The 25,055-nt window shown below is 38.1% G+C and overlaps 1 long non-coding RNA gene across 5 annotated transcripts in view; it reads right to left on the bottom strand.

The window, feature by feature from the left end:
- The window catches only part of LOC101928570 (uncharacterized), a 248,816-nt gene that overhangs the window by 178,669 nt on the left and 45,092 nt on the right, over positions 1–25,055 (bottom strand). For 4 of the 5 annotated variants that reach the window (XR_007059650.1, XR_001744206.2, XR_001744207.2 and 1 more), the window contains exon 3: positions 24,008–24,161. This is a non-coding gene — a long non-coding RNA (uncharacterized LOC101928570). Of the gene's footprint in view, positions 1–12,334; positions 12,446–24,007; positions 24,162–25,055 lie in introns of all 5 variants that reach the window. The other variant, XR_241864.5, reaches the window with a different exon arrangement.

Genomic DNA, 25,055 nt, shown 5'->3' on the forward strand with positions numbered 1-25,055 from the left:
TAACACTAAACACTTTAAAGTAATATTAATAAATGTGTCTGTGTAGTCACAAACTCAGTTTCCCGGACTGGTCAGAAATGCAGATTGAACAGGCGCAGCCTGCACCGCCATGACAGAGGGGCCAGCAAGGATCTGACGGCTTCATTAGTAAATTCTATACTTGCTGTCACTTACCTGAAATTAAACCAGTGGGACTCCTTTTTCATTTTTCTTTTTATTGTATTGAGTTTATATGTTCATCCTCATAAAAAAATTTAAAATCAGGGTGTATGTGCATCACCTGATACGTATAATCACAAAAATTAAAAAGAAAAAAGCATGTGCTTGATTTGGGAGCCATAAAGTGAAAATGAAAAGAAGGACCATAGGGAAATGGACACTTAAACTGAGTAAAAAGGGGGTGTCTCCAAGGGGCTCAAGTGCATTGGGGGCCAAATGCAAACTTCAGCTAATTCAGAGGTACACTCATGGCTAACTGAGTTGCACCAAAATGAAGTAAATTCTGAACAACAACGTCCTATCACAGTACTGATAATTCATCTCCATACTCTGATGCCCCAACTTCCTATAACTTAATATTCTTTCAAAATTTTACTCATTCATTCAACAAATATTTATTAAGAAGAGAAATACTTATTAAGAATATGTCTAACATATTATGATCCAGTGTTCTAAGTGCTAGGGTTATAGCTATGAATTTGATGGGCAAAAGTCACTCAGGGGACTTACATTCTAGCTTTAAAATTTATCCTCTAAATTTAATTTCACTACACTATTTCCTATTAGGTAGATCTATCATAGATCTCTCTAAAAGCCACGGGGCACTTTTGCTTACAGATTACAAGTCGGGTATTTTCTCAAATAATGAAATAAATTAAATCTTTTTTATTATCTACAAAAGTGTCTTTGCTCTGAATGAGCAAGTAAATTAATTTATCTGTGCCAGGACATCTGCTTCTCTTGTTAAGAAAGTACAGTACCTACTCTCTGCATGATGCCACTCCCCAAAATAGACATTTAATGACTTTAAGAATATTATTCTCATTTTGGACCCTACAAAGTTAAACAAAAATATTAGAGTTATTCTTCTCATGTTTCTTCCTAATACCCCACATTTTACCCAAAGCAGATTATTTGTAATTCATTGAAATAGTCAGAATTAGGGCTTAGCTGCCATGTGTGGACATAATGAGAGATGGGGAAAAGCCTCCAGAACAGACCTACAAACTAGAATGAGATAAGAACTCTGGTTCCATTCACGGCAGTATAGATGAAATGCTAGCCAGGCAGGTGTTCCTATTCAGGGTAGTCCGAGGTATAGAGGTCAAGTTCAAGTTCAGATTGTCCACTTACTAGACATACATCTGCCCTTCTGCAATTTACTTAATATCTCTAAGTCTTAGTTTCCTCACTTGTAAAACAAACATTGTAATTATGTTGATGCCAGAAATTGTTATGACTATCAGAGGAAACATTCTCCTGTTCTTATATTGGCAATTGTGGACAATCACTCTATCTCCAAGAGAGGACACTGCTAAACGTCACTGCCTCCTCTCTAGCATTTTTTTTCCCTTGCTTACTGAAATGTAAAGAAGAGGAATGACATTCTAATTAGACCTAAGCAAAGCCCGATATATGCAATCACATTAACCCTGAGTGGTGTCACAGCATGAAACAAAAGAAGAGGGCCTGGGCTTATCTCTCTATTGCTATTCTAATTACTAATGAGGGTTTTTATCTCTCTGACCCAGGTAGTAAAACAGACTGTCTAAAGGTCTACCTGGAGGACTACCTGGCTGTCTTCCTCCTTTGTTTCTGGAATTCTTCATCCTTTGATAATTAAATTTCTGATGAGGTTTTGTGGCATCTCCAAGTAAAAATGCCATGTCTGTGTGCCAACTTTATGAACAAATGTCTCAAGATATAGCTTTGAGAATAGGGAGAGGTCTTCTTTCCAGTAAAACCATAAACATGGTCTCCAGTCCAACTTTACTCGAAATAGGACTAATGCTGTGCTTTGCTTTCAGTTGGCACTATACATCTACTTCTCAAATTGTTAAAGAACTTAGATAATTAGGGATTCCTAAATCCCATAAAGGAAGAGTATATAAACTGTATGTATATGAGTTCAAAGGCAATAATCTGGTCCCTATAAGAATTGGTAAGAACAGATGGGCCATCAATACTGGAATTACTGAAAAGGCCAGGAAGAGAAAGGCTTGTTACTTAAATGGAGCTGCAAGCTGTGGTCTTGGCCACAGCCACAATGAAAGATCCTAGCTCTTAGAACTTGGGATGGAAAGGAAGAGCAGAATTAGCTGTAAGATTGAGATTTTTGACAAGAGCCCTTTTTGAAGACTGATAATGCTGGGTCCATATCCTAAAGAAGTATTGTTTCCTTAGCCAGAGATGTTTTTAACCTTTGCTGTAGCCATTTAGAGGACAGACAGGAGGTGAGTCATAAGGAAAACCGTAAGTTTGATGAATAGATAATTAACTATAATACTTGTCCCAATTGATCTAAATTTGAAATCCCTTTTACCCCATGCAGATATTCTAGAAAGGTTCAACTCAATGCAGTAGCTCTACTTAAGAAGATCTAATATATCCTACAAAAATATTGCTTTGGGTAAATCAGTGTTACGATGTCACATACCTCCAGGGGTCAACCATGAGGTGCACATGGGCAAATGCAGCCAGATGCAGGGAATCTGAAAAGGAACAATGAGGGAAAAGAAGGGAAAATCTCTAGAGCACACAGGGCAGCTGATAATAAGCCAGCAACAGGGACCTCTTCAGGATATTATTTCCTAAGAAGAGCCAGAAATCCAAGTTTTTAGAGTTTTTAACGTATGGCATTAAGCAATTTTTATGTTGATAACTAAATTTAATTTTAAAAAGATATACATGTTTGTGGGAATATCATGGCTTCAGAATGAAGCACTGGAGTTGTTATAGGGCTGAGAAATATTATTTTTAAATTCATGATTCACAAGTCAATTTGATTATGACGTAGATCAACTACAACTTTGCCTACACATTTTTTAATATAAACTAAATGACTTAATCTGCTTTGTAAGTATCAAGGATACATACACCACTTAAGTATTGAATATATAGGATATAATGTATCTTATGATAAGTTATGAAGATGGTAACTAAAAATGGATATGAGTGGGAGAGTGAGCAGAAGAGGCAGGTTTGAAGACAGAAAAAAAGAGAGCGAGTGGTAAGGACAGAGTTAAAAAGCCGAGGGGAAAAAATTATGCTGAAAAGAAACACGCCAAGGAAGAAAGAAGCAATTCATGCAGTGGAAAAGCGTACAGAAAGCAGTTAAAGAAATTTTGAGTTGACATTAATTCAGTTTTACTTTGCTATGTACTTTATTTACTCTCTAATTAATGCAAATTAATAAAAATATGTCAAGTATCTTCAGATGTCTGGCATTAAGTGAAAGAGATGCGGTAGTGGAAAAAATAGGACCATGGACTCAAGATTACCTTTTAGTGAGAAAACATAAGATGAGCAGATTAGAAAATGCATATATAACATGTCAACTGACAAATGTTGTAGAAGAAAGATACCATAGCAGGACTGGGAGAGCTCACACTTAAAGGACTGTTTCTTTGGCTAGGTGGTCAGGGAAGACCTCTGACGAATTAATGTTTTAGCATAAATCTTAAGGAAGTAAAGGGGCTGTGCATAAAATTAATTTAATATATATTAACTCAGCTCTATGAGGGTAAGACATGGGTCTATCTTGTTCACCATTGACTCCTCCTTGCTTTGCATACTGCTTAACATACAATAATGAACTCTGGGATGGATAACCAAAATAGCCTTTATTAGCCTCTGGACAGACAGAAGAGGGGACAGAGTTATACCCCTTCAAACCCTGAAAGAGCTCAAGGCAATCGTATTAGTTTTCTAGGGCTGCCATAAATATTAATTAATGGTATTAACTAATAAATACCATAGAATGGGTGACTTGAACAAAAGAAATTTATTTTCTCATAGTTCTAGAGGCCACAAATTCAAAATTAAGGTAACATCAAGGCTAGTTTCTTGTGAAGCCTCTCCTGACTTGTACACAGCCACCTTCTTGCTGTGTTCTCATATGGCCTTTACTCTGTGTGTATGTGGACAGAGAGAGAGTCTTTCTGGTGTCTTTTTTCTCTTCTTAAAAAGACACGAGTGTAGAAGATGGCCTAATAGGAACAGCTCCAGTCTACAGCTCCCAGCATGAGCGACACGCAAGATGGGTGATTTCTGCATTTCCAACTGAGGTACCGGGTTCATCTCACTGGGGCTTGTCAGACAGTGGGGGCAGGACAGTGGGTGCAGCCCACTGAGTGTGAGCCCATGTAGGGCAAGGAATTGCCTCACCCGGGAAGCGCAAGGGGTCAGGGAATTCCCTTTCCTAGCCAAGGGAAGCAGTGACAGATGGCACCTGGAAAATCAGGTCACTCCCACCATAATACTGCGCTTTTCCAACAGTCTTAGCAAACAGCACACCAGGAGGTTATATATCGCGCCAGGCTCAGAGCATCCCACACCCTCAGAGCCTCGCTGATTGCTAGTACAGCAGTCTGAGATCGATCTGCAAGGTGGCAGCAAGGCTGGGGGAGGTGCCCCTGCCATTGCTGAGGCGTGAGTAGGTAAACAAAGCAGCCAGGAAGCTTGAAATGGGTGGAGCCCACCACAGCTCAAGGAGGCCTGCCTGGCTATGTAGACTCCACCTCTGGGGGCAGGGCATAGCTAAACAAAAGGCAGCAGAAACCTCTGCAGACTTAAATGTCCCTGTCTGACAGCTTTGAAGTGAGTAGTGGTTCTCCCAGCACGAAGTATGAGATCTGAGAATGGACAGACTGCCTCCTCAAGTGGGTCCCTGACTCCCGAGTAGCCTAACTGGGAGGCAACCTCCAGTAGGGGCAGACTGACACCTCACATGGCAGGGTACCCCTCTGAGATGAAGCTTCCAGAGGAACAATCAGGCAGCAACATTTGATGTTCAGCAATATTCACTGTTCTGCAGCCTCTGCTGCTGATACCCAGGCAAACAGGGTCGGGAGTGGACCTCCGGCAAACTCCAACAGACCTGCAGCTGAGGGTCTTGACTGTTAGAAGGAAAACTAACAAACAGAAAGGACATCCACACCAAAAACCCATCTGTACATCACCATCATCAAAGACCAAAGGTAGATAAAACCACAAAGATGGGGAAAAAATGGAGCAGAAAAGCTGAAAACTCTAAAAATCAGAGCGCCTCTCCCCCTCTGAAGGAATGCAGCTCCTCACCAGCAATGGAACAAAACTGGACAAAGAATGACTTTGAAGAGTTGAGAGTAGAAGGCTTCAGAAGATCAAACTTCTCCAAGGTAAAGGAGGAAGTTCGAACCCATCGCAAAGAAGCTAAAAACCTTGAACAAAGATTAGATGAATGGCTAACTAAAATAACCAATGTAGAGAAGTCCTTAAATGACCTGATGGAGCTGAAAAACATGCCATCAGAACTACGTGATGAATGCACAAGCCTCAGTAGCTGATTCAATCAACTGGAAGAAAGGGTATGAGTGATTGAAGATCAAATGAATGAAATGAAGCGAGAAGAGAAGTTTAGAGAAAAAAGAGTAAAAAGAAACGAACAAAGCCTCCAAGAAATATGGGACTATGTGAAAAGACCAAATCTACATCTGATTGGTATACCTGAAGTGGTGGGGAGAACAGAACCAAATTGGAAAACACTCTGCAGGATATTATCCAGGAGAACTTCCCCAACCTAGCAAGGCAGGCCAACATTCAAATTCAGGAAATACAGAGAATTCCACAAAGATACTCCTCAAGAAGAGCAACTCCAAGACACAAAATTATCAGATTCACCAAAGTTGAAATGAAGGAAAAAATGTTAAGGGCAGCCAGAGAGAAAGGTCAGGTTACCCACAAAGGGAAGCCCATCAGACTAACAGCGGATCTCTCAGCAGAAACTCTACAAGCCAGATGAGAGTGGGGGCCAACATTCAACACTCTTCAAGAAAAGAATTTTCAACCCAGAATTTCATATGCAGCCAAACTAAGCTTCACAAGTGAAGGAGAAATAAAATAGTTTACAGACAAGCAAATGCTGAGAGATTTTGCTACCACTAGGCCCGCCCTACAAGAGCTCATGAAGGAAGCACTAAACATGGAAAGGAACAACCGGTACCAGCCACTGCAAAAACATGCCAAATTGTAAAGACCATCAATGCTAGGAAGAAACTGCATCAACTAACGAGCAAAATAACCAGAGAACATCATAATGACAGGATCAAATTCACACATAACAATATTAACCTTAAATGTAAATGGGCTAAATGTTCCAATTCAAAGACACAGACTGGCAAATTGGATAAAGAGTCAAGACCCATCAGTGTGCTGTATTCAGGAGACCCATCTCACGTGGAGAGACACACATAGGCTCAAAATAAAGGGATGGAGGAAGATCTACCAAGCAAATGGAAAACAAAAAAAGGCAGGGGTTGCAATCCTAGTCTCTGACAAAACAGACTTTAAACCAACAAAGATCAAAAGAGACAAAGAAGACCATTACATAATGGTAAAGGGATCAATTCAACAAGAAGAGCTAGCTATCCTAAACATATTTGCACCCAATACAGGAGCACCCAGATTCATAAAGCAAGTCCTTAGAGACCTACAAGAGACTTAGACTCCCACACAATAGTAATGGGAGACTTTAACACCCCACTGTCAACATTAGACAGATCCACAGCACAGAAAGTTAACAAGGATATCCAGGAATTGAACTCAGCTCTGCACCAAGTGGACCTAATAGACATCTACAGAACTCTCCACCCCACATCAACAGAATATACATTCTTCTCAGCACCACATCACACATATTACAAAATTGACCACATAGTTGGAAGTAAAGCACTCCTCAGCAAATGTAAAAGAACAGAAATTATAACAAACTGTCTCTCAGACCACAGTGTAATCAAACTAGAACTCAGGATTAAGAAACTCACTCAAAACCGCTCAGCTACATGTAAACTGAACAACTTACTCCTGAATGACCACTGGGTACATAACAAAATGAAGGCAGAAATAAAGATGTTCTTTGAAACCAATGAGGACAAAGACACAACATACCAGCATCTCTGGGACATATTTAAAGCAGTGTGTACAGGGAAATTTATAGCACTAAATGCCCACAAGAGAAAGCAGGAAAGATCTAAAATTGACACCCTAACATAACAATTAAAAGAACTAGAGAAGCAAGAGCAAACACATTCAAAAGCTAGCAGAAGGCAAGAAATAACTAAGATCAGAGCAGAATTGAAGGAGATAGAGACACAAAAAACCCTTCAAAAAAATCAATGAATCCAGGAGCTGGTTTTTTGAAAAGATCAACAAAATTGATAGACGCTAGCAAGACTAATAAAGAAGAAAAGAGAGAAGAATCAAATAGATGCAATAATAAATGATAAAGGGGATATCACCACCAATCCCACAGAAATACAAACTACTATCAGAGAATACTATAAACACCTCTACGCAAATAAACTAGAAAATCTAGAAGAAATGGATGAATTCCTGGACACATACACCCTCCCAAGACTAAACCAGGAAGAAGTTGAATCCCTGAATAGACCAATAACAGGCTCTGAAATTGAGGCAATAATTAATAGACTACCAAACAAAAAAAGTCCAGGACCAGATGGATTCACAGCCGAATTCTATCAGAGATACAAGGAGGAGCTGGTGCCATTCCTTCTAAAACGATTCCAATCAATAGAAAAAGAGAGAATCCTCCCTAAATCATTTTATGAGGCCAGCATCATCCTGATACCAAAGCCTGACAGAGACACACCAAAAAAAAAGAGAATTTTAGACCAATATCCCTGAGGAACATCGATGCAAAAATCCTCAATAAAATACTGGAAAACCGAATCCAGCAGCACATCAAAAAGCTTATCTACCATGATCAAGTGGGCTTCATCCCTGGGATGCAAAGCTGGTTCAACATATGCAAATCAATAAACTTTATCCAGCATATAAACGGAACCAAAGACAAAAACCACAGGATTATCTCAATAGATGCAGAAAAGGCCTTTGACAAAATTCAACAGCCCTTCATGCTAAAAACTCAATAAATTAGGTATTGATGGGACGTATCTCAAAATAATAAGAGCTATTTATGACAAACCCACAGCCAATATCACACTGAATGTGCAAAAACTGGAAGCATTCCCTTTGAAAACTGGCACAAGACAGGGATGCCCTCTCTCACCACTCCTATTCAACAGAGTGTTGGAAGTTCTGGCCAGGGCAATCAGGCAGGAGAAAGAAATGAAGGTTATCAATTAGGAAAAGAGGAAGTCAAATTGTCCCTGTTTGCAGATGACATGATTGCATATTTAGAACACCCAAGTCTCAGCCCAAAATCTCCTTAAGCTGATAAGCAACTTCAGCAAAGTCTCAGGATACAAAATCAATGTGCAAAAATAACAAGCATTCTTATATACCAACAGCAGACAAACAGAGAGCTAAATCATGAGTGAACTCCCATTCACAATTGCTTCAAAGAGAATAAAATACTTAGGAATCCAACTTACAAGGGATGTGAAGGACCTCTTCAAGGAGAACTACAAACCACTGCCCAACGAAATAAAACAGGACACAAACAAATGGAAGAACATTCCATGCTCATGGATAGAAAGAATCAAGATCATGAAAATGGCCATACTGCCCAAGGTAATTTATAGATTCAATGCCACCCCCATCAAGCTACCAATGACTTTCTTCACAGAATTGGAAAAAACTACTTTAAAGTTCATATGGAACCAAAAAAGGGCCCGCATTGCCAAGACAATCCTAAGCCAAAAGAACAAAGCTGGAGACATCATGCTACCTGACTTCAAACTATATTACAAGGCTACAGTAACCAAAACAGCATGGTACTGGTACCAAAGCAGAGATATAGACCAATGGAACAGAACACAGACCTCAGAAATAATACCATACATCTACAACCATCTGATCTTTGACAAACCTGACAAAAACAAGAAATGGGGAAAGGATTCCCTATTTAATAAATGGTGCTGGGAAAACTGGCTAGCCATACGTAGAAAGCTGAAACTGGATCCCTTCCTTACACCCTATACAAAAATTAATTCAAGTTCGATTAGAGACTTAAACGTTAGACCTAAAACCATAAAAACCCTAGAAGAAAACCTAGGCAATACCATTCAGGACATAGGCATGGGCAAGGACTTCATGTCTAAAACACGAAAAGCAATGGCAACAAAAGCCAAAATTGACAAATGGGATCTAATTAAACTGAAGAGCTTCTGCACAGCAAAAGAAACTACCATCAGAGTGAACAGGCAGCCTACAGAATGGGAGAAAATGTTTGCAATCTACTCATCTGACAAAGGGCTAATATCCAGAATCTACAAAGGACTCAAACAAATTTACAAGAAAAAAACAAACAACCCCATCAACACGTGGGTGAAGGATACGAACAGAGACTTCTCAAAAGAAGACATTTATGCAGCCAACAGACACATGAAAAAATGCTCATCATCACTGGCCATCAGAGAAATGCAAATCAAAACCACAATGAGATACCATCTCAAACCAGTTAGAATGGCGATCATTAAAAAGTCAGGAAACAACAGGTACTGGTGCTGGAGAGGATGTGGAGAAATAGGAACACTTTTACACTGTCAGTGGGACTGTAAACTAGTTCAACCATTGTGGAAGACAGTGTGGTGATGCCTCAAGGATCTAGAACTAGAAGTACCATTTGACCCAGCCATCCCACTACTGGGTATATACCCAAAGGATTATAAATCAAGCTGCTATAAAGACACATGCACACGTATGTTTATTGCAGCACTATTCATAATAGCAAAGACTTGGAACCAACCCAAATGTCCATCAATGATAGACTGGATTAAGAAAATGTGGCACATATACACCATGGAATACTATGCAGCCATAAAAAAGGATGAGTTCATGTCCTTTGTAGGGACATGGATGAAGCTGGAAACCATCATTCTCAGCAAACTATCGCAAGGACAAAAAGCCAAACACTGCATGTTCTCATTCATAGGTGGGAATTGAACAATGTAAACACTTGGACACAGGGTGGGGAACATCACACACTGGGGCCTGTCATGGGGTGGGGGGAGCAGGGAGGGATAGCATTAGGAGATATACCTAATGTAAATGACGAGTTAATGGGTGCAGCACACTGACATGGTGCATGTATACATATGTAACAAACCTGCACATTGTGCACATGTACCCTAGAACTTAAAGTATAAAAAAAAAAAAAAGACACCAGTCCTGTTGGATTAGGGTGCTACTCTAATGACCTTATTTAATCTTAATTACCTTCTTAAAGGCTCTACCTCCAAATGCAGTCACACTGGGGGTTCAGGCTTTAATATATGAATGGGGAGGGGGCACCACTCAGTTCATAGCACATTTCTCTGCTTCCTACCCTAATTCATGTCCTTACCACATGCAAAATACATTCCCCTCATACCAACAGCCACAAAAGCCTTAACGAATTCAAGCATCAATTCCAAGTTCAAAGTCTCATCTAAATATTATCTAAGTCAGGTATGGGTGAGACTTTAGGTATGATTCATTCTGAGGCAAAATTACAGTTTCTATCTCTAAACTTTTTAACTAGACACATTATATGATTCCAAAATACGGTGACAGGACAGGTGTAGGATATATATTGTCATTTCAAAAGGAAGAAATCAGAAAAAAGAAAGGGATGACCGGTCCCAAGAAAGTCCAAAATCTAGAAAGGCAAATTATTCTAGATCTTAAAGCTCAATAATATTCCTCTTTGTCTTGATGCTCTTCCTGCAGGCCCAGTCCAGTGGCAACATCCCTCCCACAGCCCAAGACTGCAGCCTTGCCCCCTCAGTTCTGGGCAGAGGTCTTGCTCTTGGGGCACTGGGCAGATATGGCTTGGCCTGCTAAAACCAAGTAGGAGGTCCCACCCTATGAAACTGAGACTTGCCCTCCAGGAGTGTAGTGAGAGTGGTAGCTCTGATAACCACTGGGGATTCCGTTTTCTTGAACGATAAAGCATGTTGGAGCCCAATAGCTCTATTGTCCAGTCCTGTGGAATCTCAGAAGCCTGAAAGCCTTTTTTTATTTCTTCTTTTTATCTTCCCTTCAGTCCAAACTGGCAGTGTCTCAGCTAATGTAATTCCACCTCTATTGCTGGTGCTGCTTAGATGGCTGATTAACTCCATGGATAATCTCCCTATGGACTGATTGTCCAGCCATCTTTGATGTTCTCTCTGGAAAACATTTTCTCATTTTTTTGCAATATGAATAGAATGATAGATTTTCCAAATCTTCAAGTTCTGGTTCCACTTTAACAGTTTTTTTTTTCATTTTCTTCCTTTCTTTCTTTCTCTTTCTTTCTTTCTCTTTTCTTTCTCCTTCCTTCCTTCCTCTCTTTCTTTCTCTCTCTTTCCTTCCTTCCTTCCTCTCTCTCTTTCTTTCTCTCTCTCTTTCCTTCCTTCCTTCTTTCTATCTCTCTTTTTCTTTCTTCTAAATTGAGACAGCATCTTGGTTTGTCACCCAAGCTGGAGTACAGTGGCTCAGCTCACTGCAATCTCGATCTTCTGGGCTCAAGTGATCCTTCTGCCTCAGCCTCCCAAGTAGCTGGGACCACAAGTGCATGCTACCAACAGGCCTGACTATTTTTTTTCTATTTTTCTGTAGATACAGGGCCTTGCTATGCTGCCCAGGCTGGTCTCAAACTCCCGAGTTCAAGCGATCTTGCCTTGGCCTCCCAAAGTCCTGAGAGTACAAGAGTGAGCCACCACACCCAGCCAAGAAATTTTTCAGTTTCTCTCTCTCCTTTTGCATTTTACTCTAAGAACTAAAGAGAAATAAGGCCAGATTATCAACACGTCTAGAAAACATGTTCTCTCTTCTCCAAAATAATAAAAAACAAATAGTTCATCCAAATTCTTTGCCACTTTATGAAAAGAATGTCTTTCCTTCAGCTTCTAATAACATGTTTTTCACTTCCACCTGAGACCTCACTAGAATCACCCTTAGCATTTATATTTCTGCGAAGAGTCCCTTCAAAGCACCATAGGCTTTTTCTAGCATGCACCTCAAAACTCTTTCAGCCTGCACTCAGCACCTAGTTCCAAAGTCACTCCACATTTTTAGACATTTATTACAGTAGCACGACACTTTGTGGTGCCAACATTCATGGGTTTCTGGGAATACCGTAACAAAATACCATAGACCAGGTGGTTTAAACAGCAGAAGTTTGTTTTCTCACAATTATGAAGTCCAAGTTCAAGATGCTTGGTCAGAGTGGGTTTCTGTTGAAGCCTCTTTTCCTGACTTGTATACAGCCACCTTCTTGCTATGTCCTCATATGGCCTTTCCTCTGAGTGTGTACAAAAGACAGAGAGAGAGAGATATTTCTAGTGTCTCTTCCTCTTCTTATGAGAACAAGAGTCCTATTGGATTGCAGCCCCACCCTTATGACCTCATGTAACCTTTATTACCTCCCTGAAGGCTGATTCTGCACGTACAATCACTTTGGGGATTAAGGCTCTAATGCATACACACTTTAGTCCATAACAGCCACTGTATCCTGGAACACTAATTAGGGTTCGTTAATTGCAAGCAATAGATACTGATTGCAACTCATTTCACCCAAAAGTAGTGTGCTGATAGGATGTGAGGGTCAAGGCTGCCTTTGCCCGAGGCTCGTACCCTCTGCAGTTGGGCAGTGCATAACCCATATGATCATAATCCACAGGCTTACTCCAGAGCCTCACAGAACTGAAGAAAATGATAAAAACCATACTTTGGAAGTTCAAAACTCAGAGATGCTTTAGAGACTTAAAAGCAGGAACTAACGGAAAGTCTCTTCGGGTTGTGGCCTTCATGGTGAATCAACTCCAATCATTTTCAGTCTTTGTTTCTGCAATCTAGATAAAAGTTTTGGAAAGAAAGAGTGTGATTGCTCTTGGGTCACACACAAATCTCTTCGTAAAGAGAGGTCAGGAAGCCTGATGGATAGACCTACTGAGTCTTTCATCAATGGGTCTGGGGTGGTGCCCAAAGCTAAATCAAGTTGCTCTTAACAGAAACAGAAAGACTGAACTCTGGACAGCCAAAATTATAAAAGCTAAAAATTCTAGTAGAGAAGAAAATGAGCCCAGCAGCCCACATATGGGAATTGGAATCCCAGTTCTGCCATGTGTTCACCAGCTCTGTGATGTAGCATAACTTCTTCAACTGATTTGTACCCCAAATTATTTATCTGTAAATGAATGAAAATTCTCAAATTGATTCATAAAAATGTTTAATTTATAAAATCACCTAAAGCAATACCTGACAATCTGCAATATTCAAAAAATATTAGCTAATATTATTTTACTTGAGACTGAACATCCTCATTCATAATCTAACATATATTCTGCTTTTGAAAAAAGTTTCCCTTGAGATGATTTTATCACATGATTAGTATTAAACATAAGACATTCAACACAATTAAGATTTACATGACCCTCTCTCTCTCTCCCTCTCTCTCTCTCTCACACACACACACTCACATATACAAACACACACACACACACACACACCTACAGTGGTAGGCCTCATAAATTTTTCCCTAAGAATGTTCCCGAAAAATGTTTTAAAAATTGCCTGTGATAAAATTCTAATTGTGAAAATTCAAACTTGCTCAAAGGCCAGAGATCAAAGCAAATAATGAAATGTGTTTAACAGGCTAGGAAGGACAGTTGTTGAATGAGTGTGGGTCTCAGTAACTGTTGTATGAAATTATTTTTATTCAATGTCAGGCAGAGGAAATAAACACCAAGTTAATGAAATTTTTACATGATACAAAATAAGGAGACACTGCAAGTGTTGGAAAAGCCTAAGAACCAAAAACAATGATGCCATAACAGGAAAAATTAAAAGGGAAGAAAATAAAATTTAGATAAACAATAATAGAATAGCTGAAGAAACAAAATTAAATCGAGAAGAAGACACCTAAGTTATAGCACTTGTTGCAGTGCACTTCATAAAATTGTTTACATAATCATCTCCATTGCTCAGCTGAAAGCATGATGAGACATTAAGTCATTTAATTAAAAAAAAACTATTGAGTAAGGACTATGCACCAGGTGCAGTGTTAGTCAGTAGGAACACCAATGAACAAGTTCAAGTCCTAGCTAGTGAATGCACATTCAATTTAATTCATTTCTATACCACCAGCATCCAACATAGAAACCTACCACATGAAGAAAGAAAGGAATACACAGCCATTTTTCCAGTGATAGATGGATAAGTCCAGGAATGCTCATAGTCAAATGTATCTAAAAGGATATTTAGGAATAGCACATATTTATTGAGACTAAATATGTGCCAGACATTGTTTTCATGGCTTGGCTTGCATTCTCCTTCAATCTTCACCCAGATGATGACACATTGTGCTCATGTTATAGTTGAGGAAACTGACAGTGGAAATTAAATGACTCTTCCAACCACATGTAAGCTAGTAAGCAGTGGAGCTGAGATTCAAACCAGGTCTATCTGATTGAGTACTTTTATTTTTTTAATTAATCTATATTTTTAGAAATGGAGTCTCCCTCTGTCGCCCAGGCTGGAGTGTGATCTCGGCTCACTGCAACCTCCACCTCCCAGGTTCAAGTGATTCTCCTGCCTCAGCCCCCCAAGTAGCTGGGACTGTAGGCACCTGTCATTATGCCCAGCTAATTTTTGTATTTTTGTAGAGAAGGGGTTTCACCAGTTGGCCAGGCTGATCTTGAACTCCTGATATCAGGTGATCAGCCCAACTCAGCCTCCCAGAATGCTGGTATTACAGGGGTGAGCCACCAAGCCCGGCCTGATTGAGTACTTTTAAATTCTTATAGATGTTTTTAATTTTTAGGAGATAGGACACATCTAAGAGCAACCTCAGTGAATAGCATCCCCTTTTAGTGAACATGCAGGTGACTATGATGCAGGCACAATTGGAAAACTGTAAACAAACAAACAAAAACAAAACTTCAACCAGCAGTCGGCATTAGTGATTATTTCATTTAATTCATTGTTAACTCTTCTTAACATTTAACTTAAATTATATTGAACATGATCACTGCTTCTTTATCCTGAACTAAACTCACCTTTGTGAAGTCTTTGTAAAATATTTATAGCCAATATTTCAATTGATCCTTATAACAAGTATATGAAATAGGTTGTGGATAAGGATTTTAAGAAGCCTTTTTTTACCTTCTATACAAATTTGCAAGATGAGATTTTAGAAAGTCAATTGACTTGTCCAAGGGCATATAAAGAGGTCAACGAGATTTTTGTAATCATCATCTCCACCCCAGCTTCCCTAGTGCATTTTCCTAATTTAGTTTGCACAGAAAATTCATTCATCTTAGAGAGGTTTGTTGTACATTTCTGTTACTTGTGGTGAAATGAAAAGAGCTGTTAATATTTCAAAGATGTGAGACTTATCCTAAAGTGAGTGTATATAAGACTGAATGCTAACTTCTAAAATTCTCCATAAATGCTGAAGAGAACAAACAAGAATAGACCTCAGGAAAATAGTCTGAAGTCAAAGAGCAGAATTGCTCCAGAAATCAGTATCACCAAAGGAGACAAATGGCTGAAAACTGAAGACAAATTAGAATTGCACACAATGTAATACGGTACCCAGACAGGCAGTGATTTTCAAGGCTGCATATGAAGAGACATTAGATCCTAGGATGGGAAAGTAATAGCCTTTTCCTACAAAACTCTGGGGAGACTGCATCAGATAACAGTGTCTGAGGTAATACAGCCTCATCAAGAGTGCGAGAGACAGGCAACAGAAATGACTAGGGAGGGGAAACATCAATTTCCAAGTTAGGCCTAAGGAGCTAAATGTGTATAGATTGGTGATGTAATGACAATGAGGCCCATGAGTCTGAACAGTAATACCATTTTTCCACAGAAAGAAAGATGTTATTTAGTCTAATTTATGTGAGTTTATAAAAAGAAACTGACCACCGAGACTTAGGACAAAAGGAAACAAAGAGGTTATTTCCATGTTTCTAAGAATGATATTGAAAGTACATAAAAATATAATTGTTCCTTAATTTATTTTTTAAATTTAATTTGACAGATAACATTGTCAGATGTTAAAAATAAAATTGTTCCTTAATTTATTTTTTAAATTTAATTTGACAGATAACACATACAAATAACATATTTCTGTGTGTGTGTGTGTATATATATACATATATATAATATATATATAGTGGAATGGTTAAACCTAGCTAATGAACAAATGCATTGTCTCGCATAGTTATAATTTTTGTGATAAGAGCACTCAATGTTTCCTAATTTTATATTTTTCAAGAATATATTATCATTAACTATTATCACCTTGCTGTACAATAGATCTCTCAAAATTCAATCCTCCTATTTTACCGTAATTACGTATCCTTTGATCAAGCTCTCTAGATCCTCCCCTCCCTGATAGCCAACCCAGCCTCTGGTAACCATCATTCTACTCTCTATTTCTATGAGATCAACTCTTTGATTCCACTTATGAGTGAGATGGTGTGGCATGTGTCTTTCTGTGACTGATTTATTTCACTTAACATAATGCTTTCCAGGTTTATTCATGTTGATGATAATGACTAGATTTTGTTCTTTTCTGTGGCTGAATAGTATTCCACTGTGTATATATACTACATTTTCTTTATCCATTCTTTTATTTATTTATTTATTTATTTATTTATTTATTTTTTGAGACGGAGTCTCACTCTGTTGCCCAGGCTGGAGTGCAGTGGTGCGATCTCCGCTCACTGCAAGCTCCGCCTCGCCAGTTCACGCCATTCTCCTGCCTCAGCCTCGCGAGTAGCTGGGACTACAGGCGCCCACTACGACGCCCGGCTAATTTTTTTGTATTTTTAGTAGAGACGGGGTTTCACCGTGTTAGCCAGGATGGTCTCGATCTCCTGACCTAGTGATCCGCCTGCCTCGGCCTCCCAAAGTGCTAGGATTACAGGTGTGAGCCACCGCACCCGGCCTATCTATTCTTTTGTTGATGGACACTCAGGTTAATTCCATATCTCAATGGCAAACATTTTTGCTCATTTATTTATTCACTCAGTAAACTTTCATTGGATAACTGCTATATGTGAGGCACTGTATTAGGGCTTGGCGTAGAAAAATAAGTGAGATTTTATATCTGCCCTTGAGGAATTTATTTCTAATTTAAAATGCCATTTTTAAAAAAGCAATATGTGACTCAAAATGTACTTATCTGTATGGTGATGAAAATAGGCACATACAAGAGAGGTGAGTTTATCATTTTTTCAAGAGTGGAGTAAGAAATAAAAAATAATACTGTTTTAGAAAACTTCATACTTTCTCTCACTTGGTTTATAACATAAAGTTCCCATATTGTTATACACTCTTCAAAAACATTTTAATGGCAACAGAATGTCATGGAGTGAAAGTGTTCATAACCTACTGGCAGTGGGGTTGGGGACTGGACATAGTACCACGCTACACTACATGGTGACGGTAAAACAGGCCACTCTGTGTATGGGCATCCTAGGATGTAAGCCCCACCATGAGGAATGTCACACTTTTCCAGGGGCTGTGAAGAAGATTCGAGGCCAGATTGTCTCCCATTGGTAGACAGGCAAGATTGCCTCTATATCATGTTTAAGGGTTCAGGATAGTTTTTACAGCCAAACTTTGGAGCAGTCACACATCTGTCGTAAAACGAAAGCAGGTGTTCATTGAGATGGGCATAGCAGGTGCTGCCTCCTGCTGGAGCCTTGCCACAAAGGTCAACCGGGTACCCATTGTTCTTGTTCAACTTTTCACTAGCATTAGTGCCATCATCTCACCATTTCCTTTAGTACCTAGGGTGGTGATGTGTTCACTGCTCACAAATCCTGTGGGTTGCCATGACCGTTTCCACACACACTCTAAAAGGCGTGCAGGGCTAATAAGTTAATTCCACAAAGAATATCAAGTATTTATTTAATAGTAACAGTGAGTAACCCATATGTAAAGCCCTATTTCCCATCCATGAATTCATTTTATCTTCAGAATACCTTCAGAGGAAAATATAATTATCCTCCATTTTATAGATGAGAAAACCAAGCAGATTATTTGATGGCTTAGGTACCCTATCCGAGGTCACTGAGCAGGGCTGTGAAGGAGTCAGTATTGGCATCTAAGCCATCTGGTTATGGAGACTGGCTGCTTAATCACTATGTTGCCTGCACTTCAGGACTACGATTATGCCTGCCTACTTACTAGTGAGTGCCATGAGACAACATCCCTGCTAGCGGAGTGTACACACTATTGGAGCCAAAGGTGCTCCAGTAAAAGTTCATTAAACCAACAACCCTCTTTACTAGAGCCCTATGTTCTTATTAAGAAAGGGAATAAGGAATTCCAGTTCTAATCAGGACACTTGGCCTCCAAGTGGGAATAATCTTTGACCCTCATCTGTTTTCATTAATGTTCTGCCTGTTGGGTCAGCTAAATGCCAGCTCTCCCAAGCATCTGAAGTGGATACATTACAAAGTGAGTACAATTTAGAAGATATGAGGTAGATACAAGAAAAGTCCTTGATGAGGAATTGTCTTAGTCTGTTTAGGGTGCTATAACAAAAACACCAGAAAGTTGGTAGCTTATAAACAAATATTTATTTTTCAGTTATGGAAGCTGGGAAGTCCAGGCCCCGGCACAGCAGATCTGGTGTCTGGCGAGGGCCCTTGTATTAGGTGCCTCTCACTATGTCCTCACATGGTGGAAAGGCGAGATAGCTCTTTTGGGTCTCTTTTATAAAGGCACTAATCCCATTCATGAGGGATCTGACTTAATGACTAATCACTACCCAAATGCCCTGACTTCTAATACACATTGAGGATCCTATCACACTGAGGATTAGGTTTTGATGTATAAATTGGGGGTGGAGACGCACTAACATTCAGACCATACCAGGAATCAAAAGAGGAATCACAGAAGCAAAAAGCAAATTCTGACAGCAGTACCAACAGATTGAGATAATAAAAAAATAAATAAACTGAGATACAGGCTGGGAATTAAATTGGACTTTAATCAAGGAAGGTATTCAGGAGCTGTTGCAAAAATTTCTAGTTATGATTCAAGGAGGCACCGTTTAAAACCCAAAAGCTTATTCTTGCCCCCCGTTCTTATCAACATGACAGTAAAACATTCCTTTGTGCTTGCTCTCCCACAGACAGTGCTCTTAGTGCCATAATACATTGAACATGAATATTTATATGTATTAATTTCACCAACAACCCTGTATGGTTAAGTATAGTATCACCTTCATTTTAAAATGAGAAAACTGATACCCAAAGTAATAAAATGATGTTGCCAAGATCACTCAGCTGGTATGTGACAGAGACAGAATTTAAAGCTAAGTGGTTTTGTTCCAGAGTATATGTCATTAACTATTATATTACACTTCTTCTCAAGGGATAGATAGAATTTATCCATTGTGTTTGCCCAGAGTCATTTCACTGGTGCACATTGGTGTCTGGTACATATGATAAGAGAAAAATGGTTCATATACTTACTACAGCAAAATTAGTATGGAATATTCCAACATACTTTACCAAAAACACAGCTTTACAGGGTAATTTTATGTTCTCTCTATGCCTGCAGCTTTAAAAAAGAAAATCCCAACCAATGGCCTGTATTAGCAATATCTGAGGTCACCTTTCAACATACTAAATAGCACTACAAGGCATGTGGGGACAGATCTTGTTTTATAAATGAGATTCCTCTTAAAAATCTCATCTAAGCACATTATCGCCAAGTAATGGTAGCTATGCCAAAAATTGAAAGACTTATTCTTGGTTCTATTTGTAATTACTGGCAATCAACTCCACTAAATTTTACCATATTTACCAAAATGATGCAAATTTACTCCCTCTTTTATTACTTTCAGTTTTTCTGGGGACTCTAAATATTTTCTCCATACAAAGCTTTCAGATCCAACCTTACATCCTTAACAAGTGGCTACTCTATCCAGTCAATGCAACATTTGAATGGCAACCAATATTGATTCCATGAAATTGGTATAAGCCAGTAGAGTCATCAAGGGAGAAATCATCTTATGTCAAGAGCACCCCAAGGCCTGCCTCTAAGTCTTTAATCAGTGCTATAGATTGGATGTTTGACCCTCCAAACTTCATGCCAAAATTTGATCCACAGTGCTTGAGGCGGGGCCTAACTGGAGGTGTTTGGTCATGGGGTCAGATACCCCATAAATATTAGATTAATGCCATCCCTCAAGAGTGAGTGAGTTGTCCTATCAGTTTCCTTGGAAACTAAAGTTATAAAGAGCTCAGTATCTCCCTCCCCTCTCTCCTACTTCCTTTATCACCATGTGGTCTCTGCACACCCTTCCTTTCCGCAATGAGTGGAAGCAGCCCGAGGCCCTCATCAGAAGCAGGTGCTGGCACCATGCTTTTTGTGCAGCCTGCAGAACCATGAGCCAAATAAACCTCTTTTCTTTATAAATTACCCAGCCTCAGGTATTCCTTTATAGAAACAGAAAACAAAGACAATCAGACTAAGACAATCAGCTAAACTTAGTGGTCTCAGGATCAAGAGGATCAAGGAGAGGTGCTATCTGTTATAACACTACGTTTTAAACAACACACTCATAACACCAATATACTCTCAGTAGTTGCAAAATCATCTCAAATTCTCTTCATTTGTTTTCAACACATTCCTATCTTGGAGCCCAGACCCTAAGCTTGCCTCACTTAGAAATTTAAACATTCTTAGCTGAGAAAAATAAATCATTCCAAGTTACGGAAATTTTAAACACAATTTTGGGTGTAAATGTTGCTCATAACATAGAAGGCAAAGCCATTTAAAAATTATCTGAATAAAGTTAGGAAATTTTTGTTGCAGAATGTCATCAAACTTTTTCATAATAAGTGATTCCTCAGCCCAGTACCAGAAGATTTTAACATTCATTAAAATTTCAAGTGTGCAGAGTTGCATTCCAGAAAGGACTCCTTAAGTTTAAGAATGTGTGGTGGTGGCTAATTTTATGTGTCAACTTGATTGAGCTAAAGAATACCCAGATAGTTGGTGAAAACATTTCTCAGTGTGTCTGCAAGGGTGTTCCTGTAAGACATTAGAATTTGAGTCAGTAGATTGAGTAAAGAAGATCCATCCACTATCACTAATGTGGATGGACATCATCCAATCTGTGAGGAAGGGCAAATTCTCTCTCTCTCTCTTCTTGAGCTGGTGCATCCATCTTTTCCTGTGTAAGAGAGTATCAGGACTCCAGGTTCCGGAGCCTTTGGTTTCAGGGACTTACACCAGCAGTCCTTTTACCCACTGGGTTCTCAGGCCTTTAACCTCAGGCTAAATTACACCACCGACTTTCTTCGTTCTCCAGCTTGAAGACAGCATATTGTGGGACATCTTGGCCATCATAATTTTGTGAACAGATTTCTATAATAAATTTCCTCATACACAGACACACACACACACACACACACACACACACATATATATACTATATATCCTATTGGTTATGTTTCTATGGATAACCCTGAATAATACAATTATTTAGTACAATTTTCATAATTGTTACACAAAATATACTTCTCTGTCTTTAAATTCTGAGTCACTCCTTTGTCCACTTCACTAAGAGAAAAAATGACAAATTCCCTTCTATTTCCCAAGGTTAACTTGTACATCTGCCCTAAATACTATACTCTGCCACTTCCTCTGAGATACTTGACCCTAAATAATTTCTCTCTCTTTACTATTTCCTACCATGTTTTCCAATATATTAGATCGGTACTACAAGAAAAAAAAATTAAAATCTTTCAATGATCGCTTCTTCATGCTAACAACCAGTTTCTCTCAAATTACTTAAATTTCTTAAATATATTTTATTAACCCTTCACTCTCCCAAGACTTGTTTTACCACTTCTCTGTAATCTGTTTCTCTCTGCACAAGTAAAATTGCTGCTTTAAAGTTTGATGATGACTTTTTAAACATAAACACCAACAGATTTTTAAAATATATAAACTCCTGTTTCTCTCTCTGTAGCACTGTATGTTGGCCAGAGTGTAAGGTGTTTTGGCTATATCAATAAATTATTTTTTCTTCATTGAAACTCTAATCACTTCTTAGCTCAATAACTCTTTTGGTTTTATTTGTCCCATCCCAAACTCATCTATTCTAATGATTCTTACCTAAGACTGTATAACATACCCACTTGAGGATTTTTTTTTTAATATAACTGTTCCTATGCCTCACCAAGGCCAGTTAAATCAGAATTACTTATGCCAAGATTGGAAATGATAAATAAATATGTATACTGAATGAATGGAAGAACTGTAGAATGAGAATTGTGGGAATATTATCAATAGAAAACAGAAATATTTGAAGGCAAAGTAGAATGTAAAATTGTTAGATAAGTTGTTCCCTGAAAGAATTACATGTTAAAATCACCCATGGAGTACCTTTATCCTGAGTCAATCACCCTTTATTGTTTTTATTTGTCCCATCCCATCTATGAATTAGGAGAGATGAGTTTGGGATGGGACAAATAAAATCAATAAAGAGTTATTGAGCTAAGAAGTGATCAGAGTTTCAATAAAGAAAGAAAATAATTTATTGTTCCTATGCCTCACCAAGACCAGTTAAATAAAAAATTTCTTATGACAAGATTTGAGTATGTTGTCATATAGGTATCTTGTCATAACTGTTGGGAATCGATTTTTTTAAATTACTTCAACAGCTGCCCCCTGAGCAATTTTAATGTGGGGAACCACTTATCCAACAATTTCACATTCTGCTTTGCCTTCAAATCTTTCTATTTTCTATTGATAATATTCATACAATTATCATTCTACATTCCCTCCATTCATGCAACATACATATATATATATATATATATATATATATATATATATATATATATATATATTTATATTTATATATATTTACCATTTGGTACCTATTAATAGATGTATGTTATATGCTAGATACAAAGTGTCAAGATGAAATATGGCTCATAGCCCATTGGCTAATTGGGTAATAGAGGTTAGAATTATAGATGCTTAGGAGATAGAAAATGCAAAGTTACAAAAACTTAACTAAATGATACATTCACTTTTCTCTGACAAAAGACAAATTTCACAGGAAAAACAATTTCATAGGTAGAATCATCCTCTGTGAGTCATTGAGTGTGAAGGATAAAGGAGAAAAATTAAAGATAAACAGATTTTAGAGTGTGTGTGAATGACTAATAGATTTTAATGCCTTTAATCAATATATCATAGGAGAGGGAAATTAATTAATTCAGCCTGATGCACTCAGTAGTTCAGAAGCCAATAAAAAATCTAAATGGAGATATGCATTATGCCATTGTAAATGCAAATATGAATTTAAAAAATTATAGATTTGAGCCCCTTACTTCTGCCACAGAGCTCATGACCTTTCTTCTTGTTTTCTCCGTCTAAGGCACACCAACCCTCTTTCTTATTTGACTGTGTCATACTGTTGTCTCTGCACAGAACTCTGCTGTCTCTTAACCTAGCCAATTCCTTCTCACCTTTTTAGTTCCAACTTTCTTGTTTCTTCCAACTACTCACAGTACAAAGGCAACCCCATTATGTGCTCTCATATAATTATAAACTTCTCTTCATTACCTCTTATTATAAATGTAATTATCTAATTATGTAACCATTTGTTTAATCTATCTCCACACTGAAAGCTATATGCTATGTGAGAGTGAGCAGGGGTCATACCTGCTTCACTATCCCCCGCCCTTTTTCTCATCATTCACAAAAGCAGATCACAGGATTTTGAACATATAATGAACATATAAAGAAATTAAGAAATATTAATTAAATAAATGAATTAAGGAAAGAATAAAACAAAGAGATTATTTGTTACCTTGGTACAGCTATGTTTAGTTTTCACTGTTACTGCTGTCATTTTGAGATGGAGGGGACTTGAGAGTATTTTAGACCTTCTATATTATGTTCAGCGAGAGGTCTTTCAATCTTTCATCTCCATATGTGATCACTCTCAAGTTTCACTATTAGTCCTAAAATAAAACACATTCAAACTTTAACCCATCTTCTCCCTAAAAAACTTACATTATACATTTAAATTTCTTTCAATAGCACCACCATACTACCATATCTTAACACTTAAAATAATAAAATAAAACTAAAATCCAGATTTTTATTTTTTAATTATAATACCATCTCCAGGTAATACATAAGCACTGTTTATCTATACTTTATAAGACCTTTCAAATCTATCTCAACCTTCTATTACCCAAATTACGCCTCTGATTTCAGTCCATGGCACTGCATGTTCAAAATTATTTTAGTAGTATAATTTCTTGTTTTATTTTTCTTCCATTCCTTCAATGTATTTCTTATGACTTTGCCAGATTAATCTTTCTGCAATAGTATTTTTTAACCATTATTAAATTTCTTCCTTTATGGGCTCTTTCACATTAATCCCACTGATGTCCAAATATCAGTTGATAGCAAACCCAGAAACTTTGTCTTAGCCCCATGTAATATTTTATCTCTCTCTTATCTCTATCTCTACCTCTACCTCTGTCTCTGTCTCTCTATCTCTATCTCTCTCAGCTAGTGATCTTATTTTGTGTGCTATTGAGGGATTAAAACCCACTCAAAGTATATCCCTAATCTCATTAATAGCAAACATAAAAAGCTATCATAATTTTCATCTTTCATCCCTTTCTTAGATTGAAGATGAGTCCTCTTTTTAAGAGCTAAACCCCCTCCATTTTTGCTCTGGATCTCATTTTTTTCTGTCTTTTCAGGAACTATTTCCCTTCTATTATTATTTTCATTCTACATTATTAGGTTCTCCTTCTCTACTAAGTTGTTTGCATTAATGTAAGACTGTACTCTTTTCCCTTTATTCTTAAAAAAATTACATAAAAATATCCCAGCTACCA

This window comes from Homo sapiens, chromosome 6, assembly GCF_000001405.40.
Source record: "Homo sapiens chromosome 6, GRCh38.p14 Primary Assembly".
Classification (NCBI taxonomy): Eukaryota; Metazoa; Chordata; class Mammalia; order Primates; family Hominidae; genus Homo; species Homo sapiens.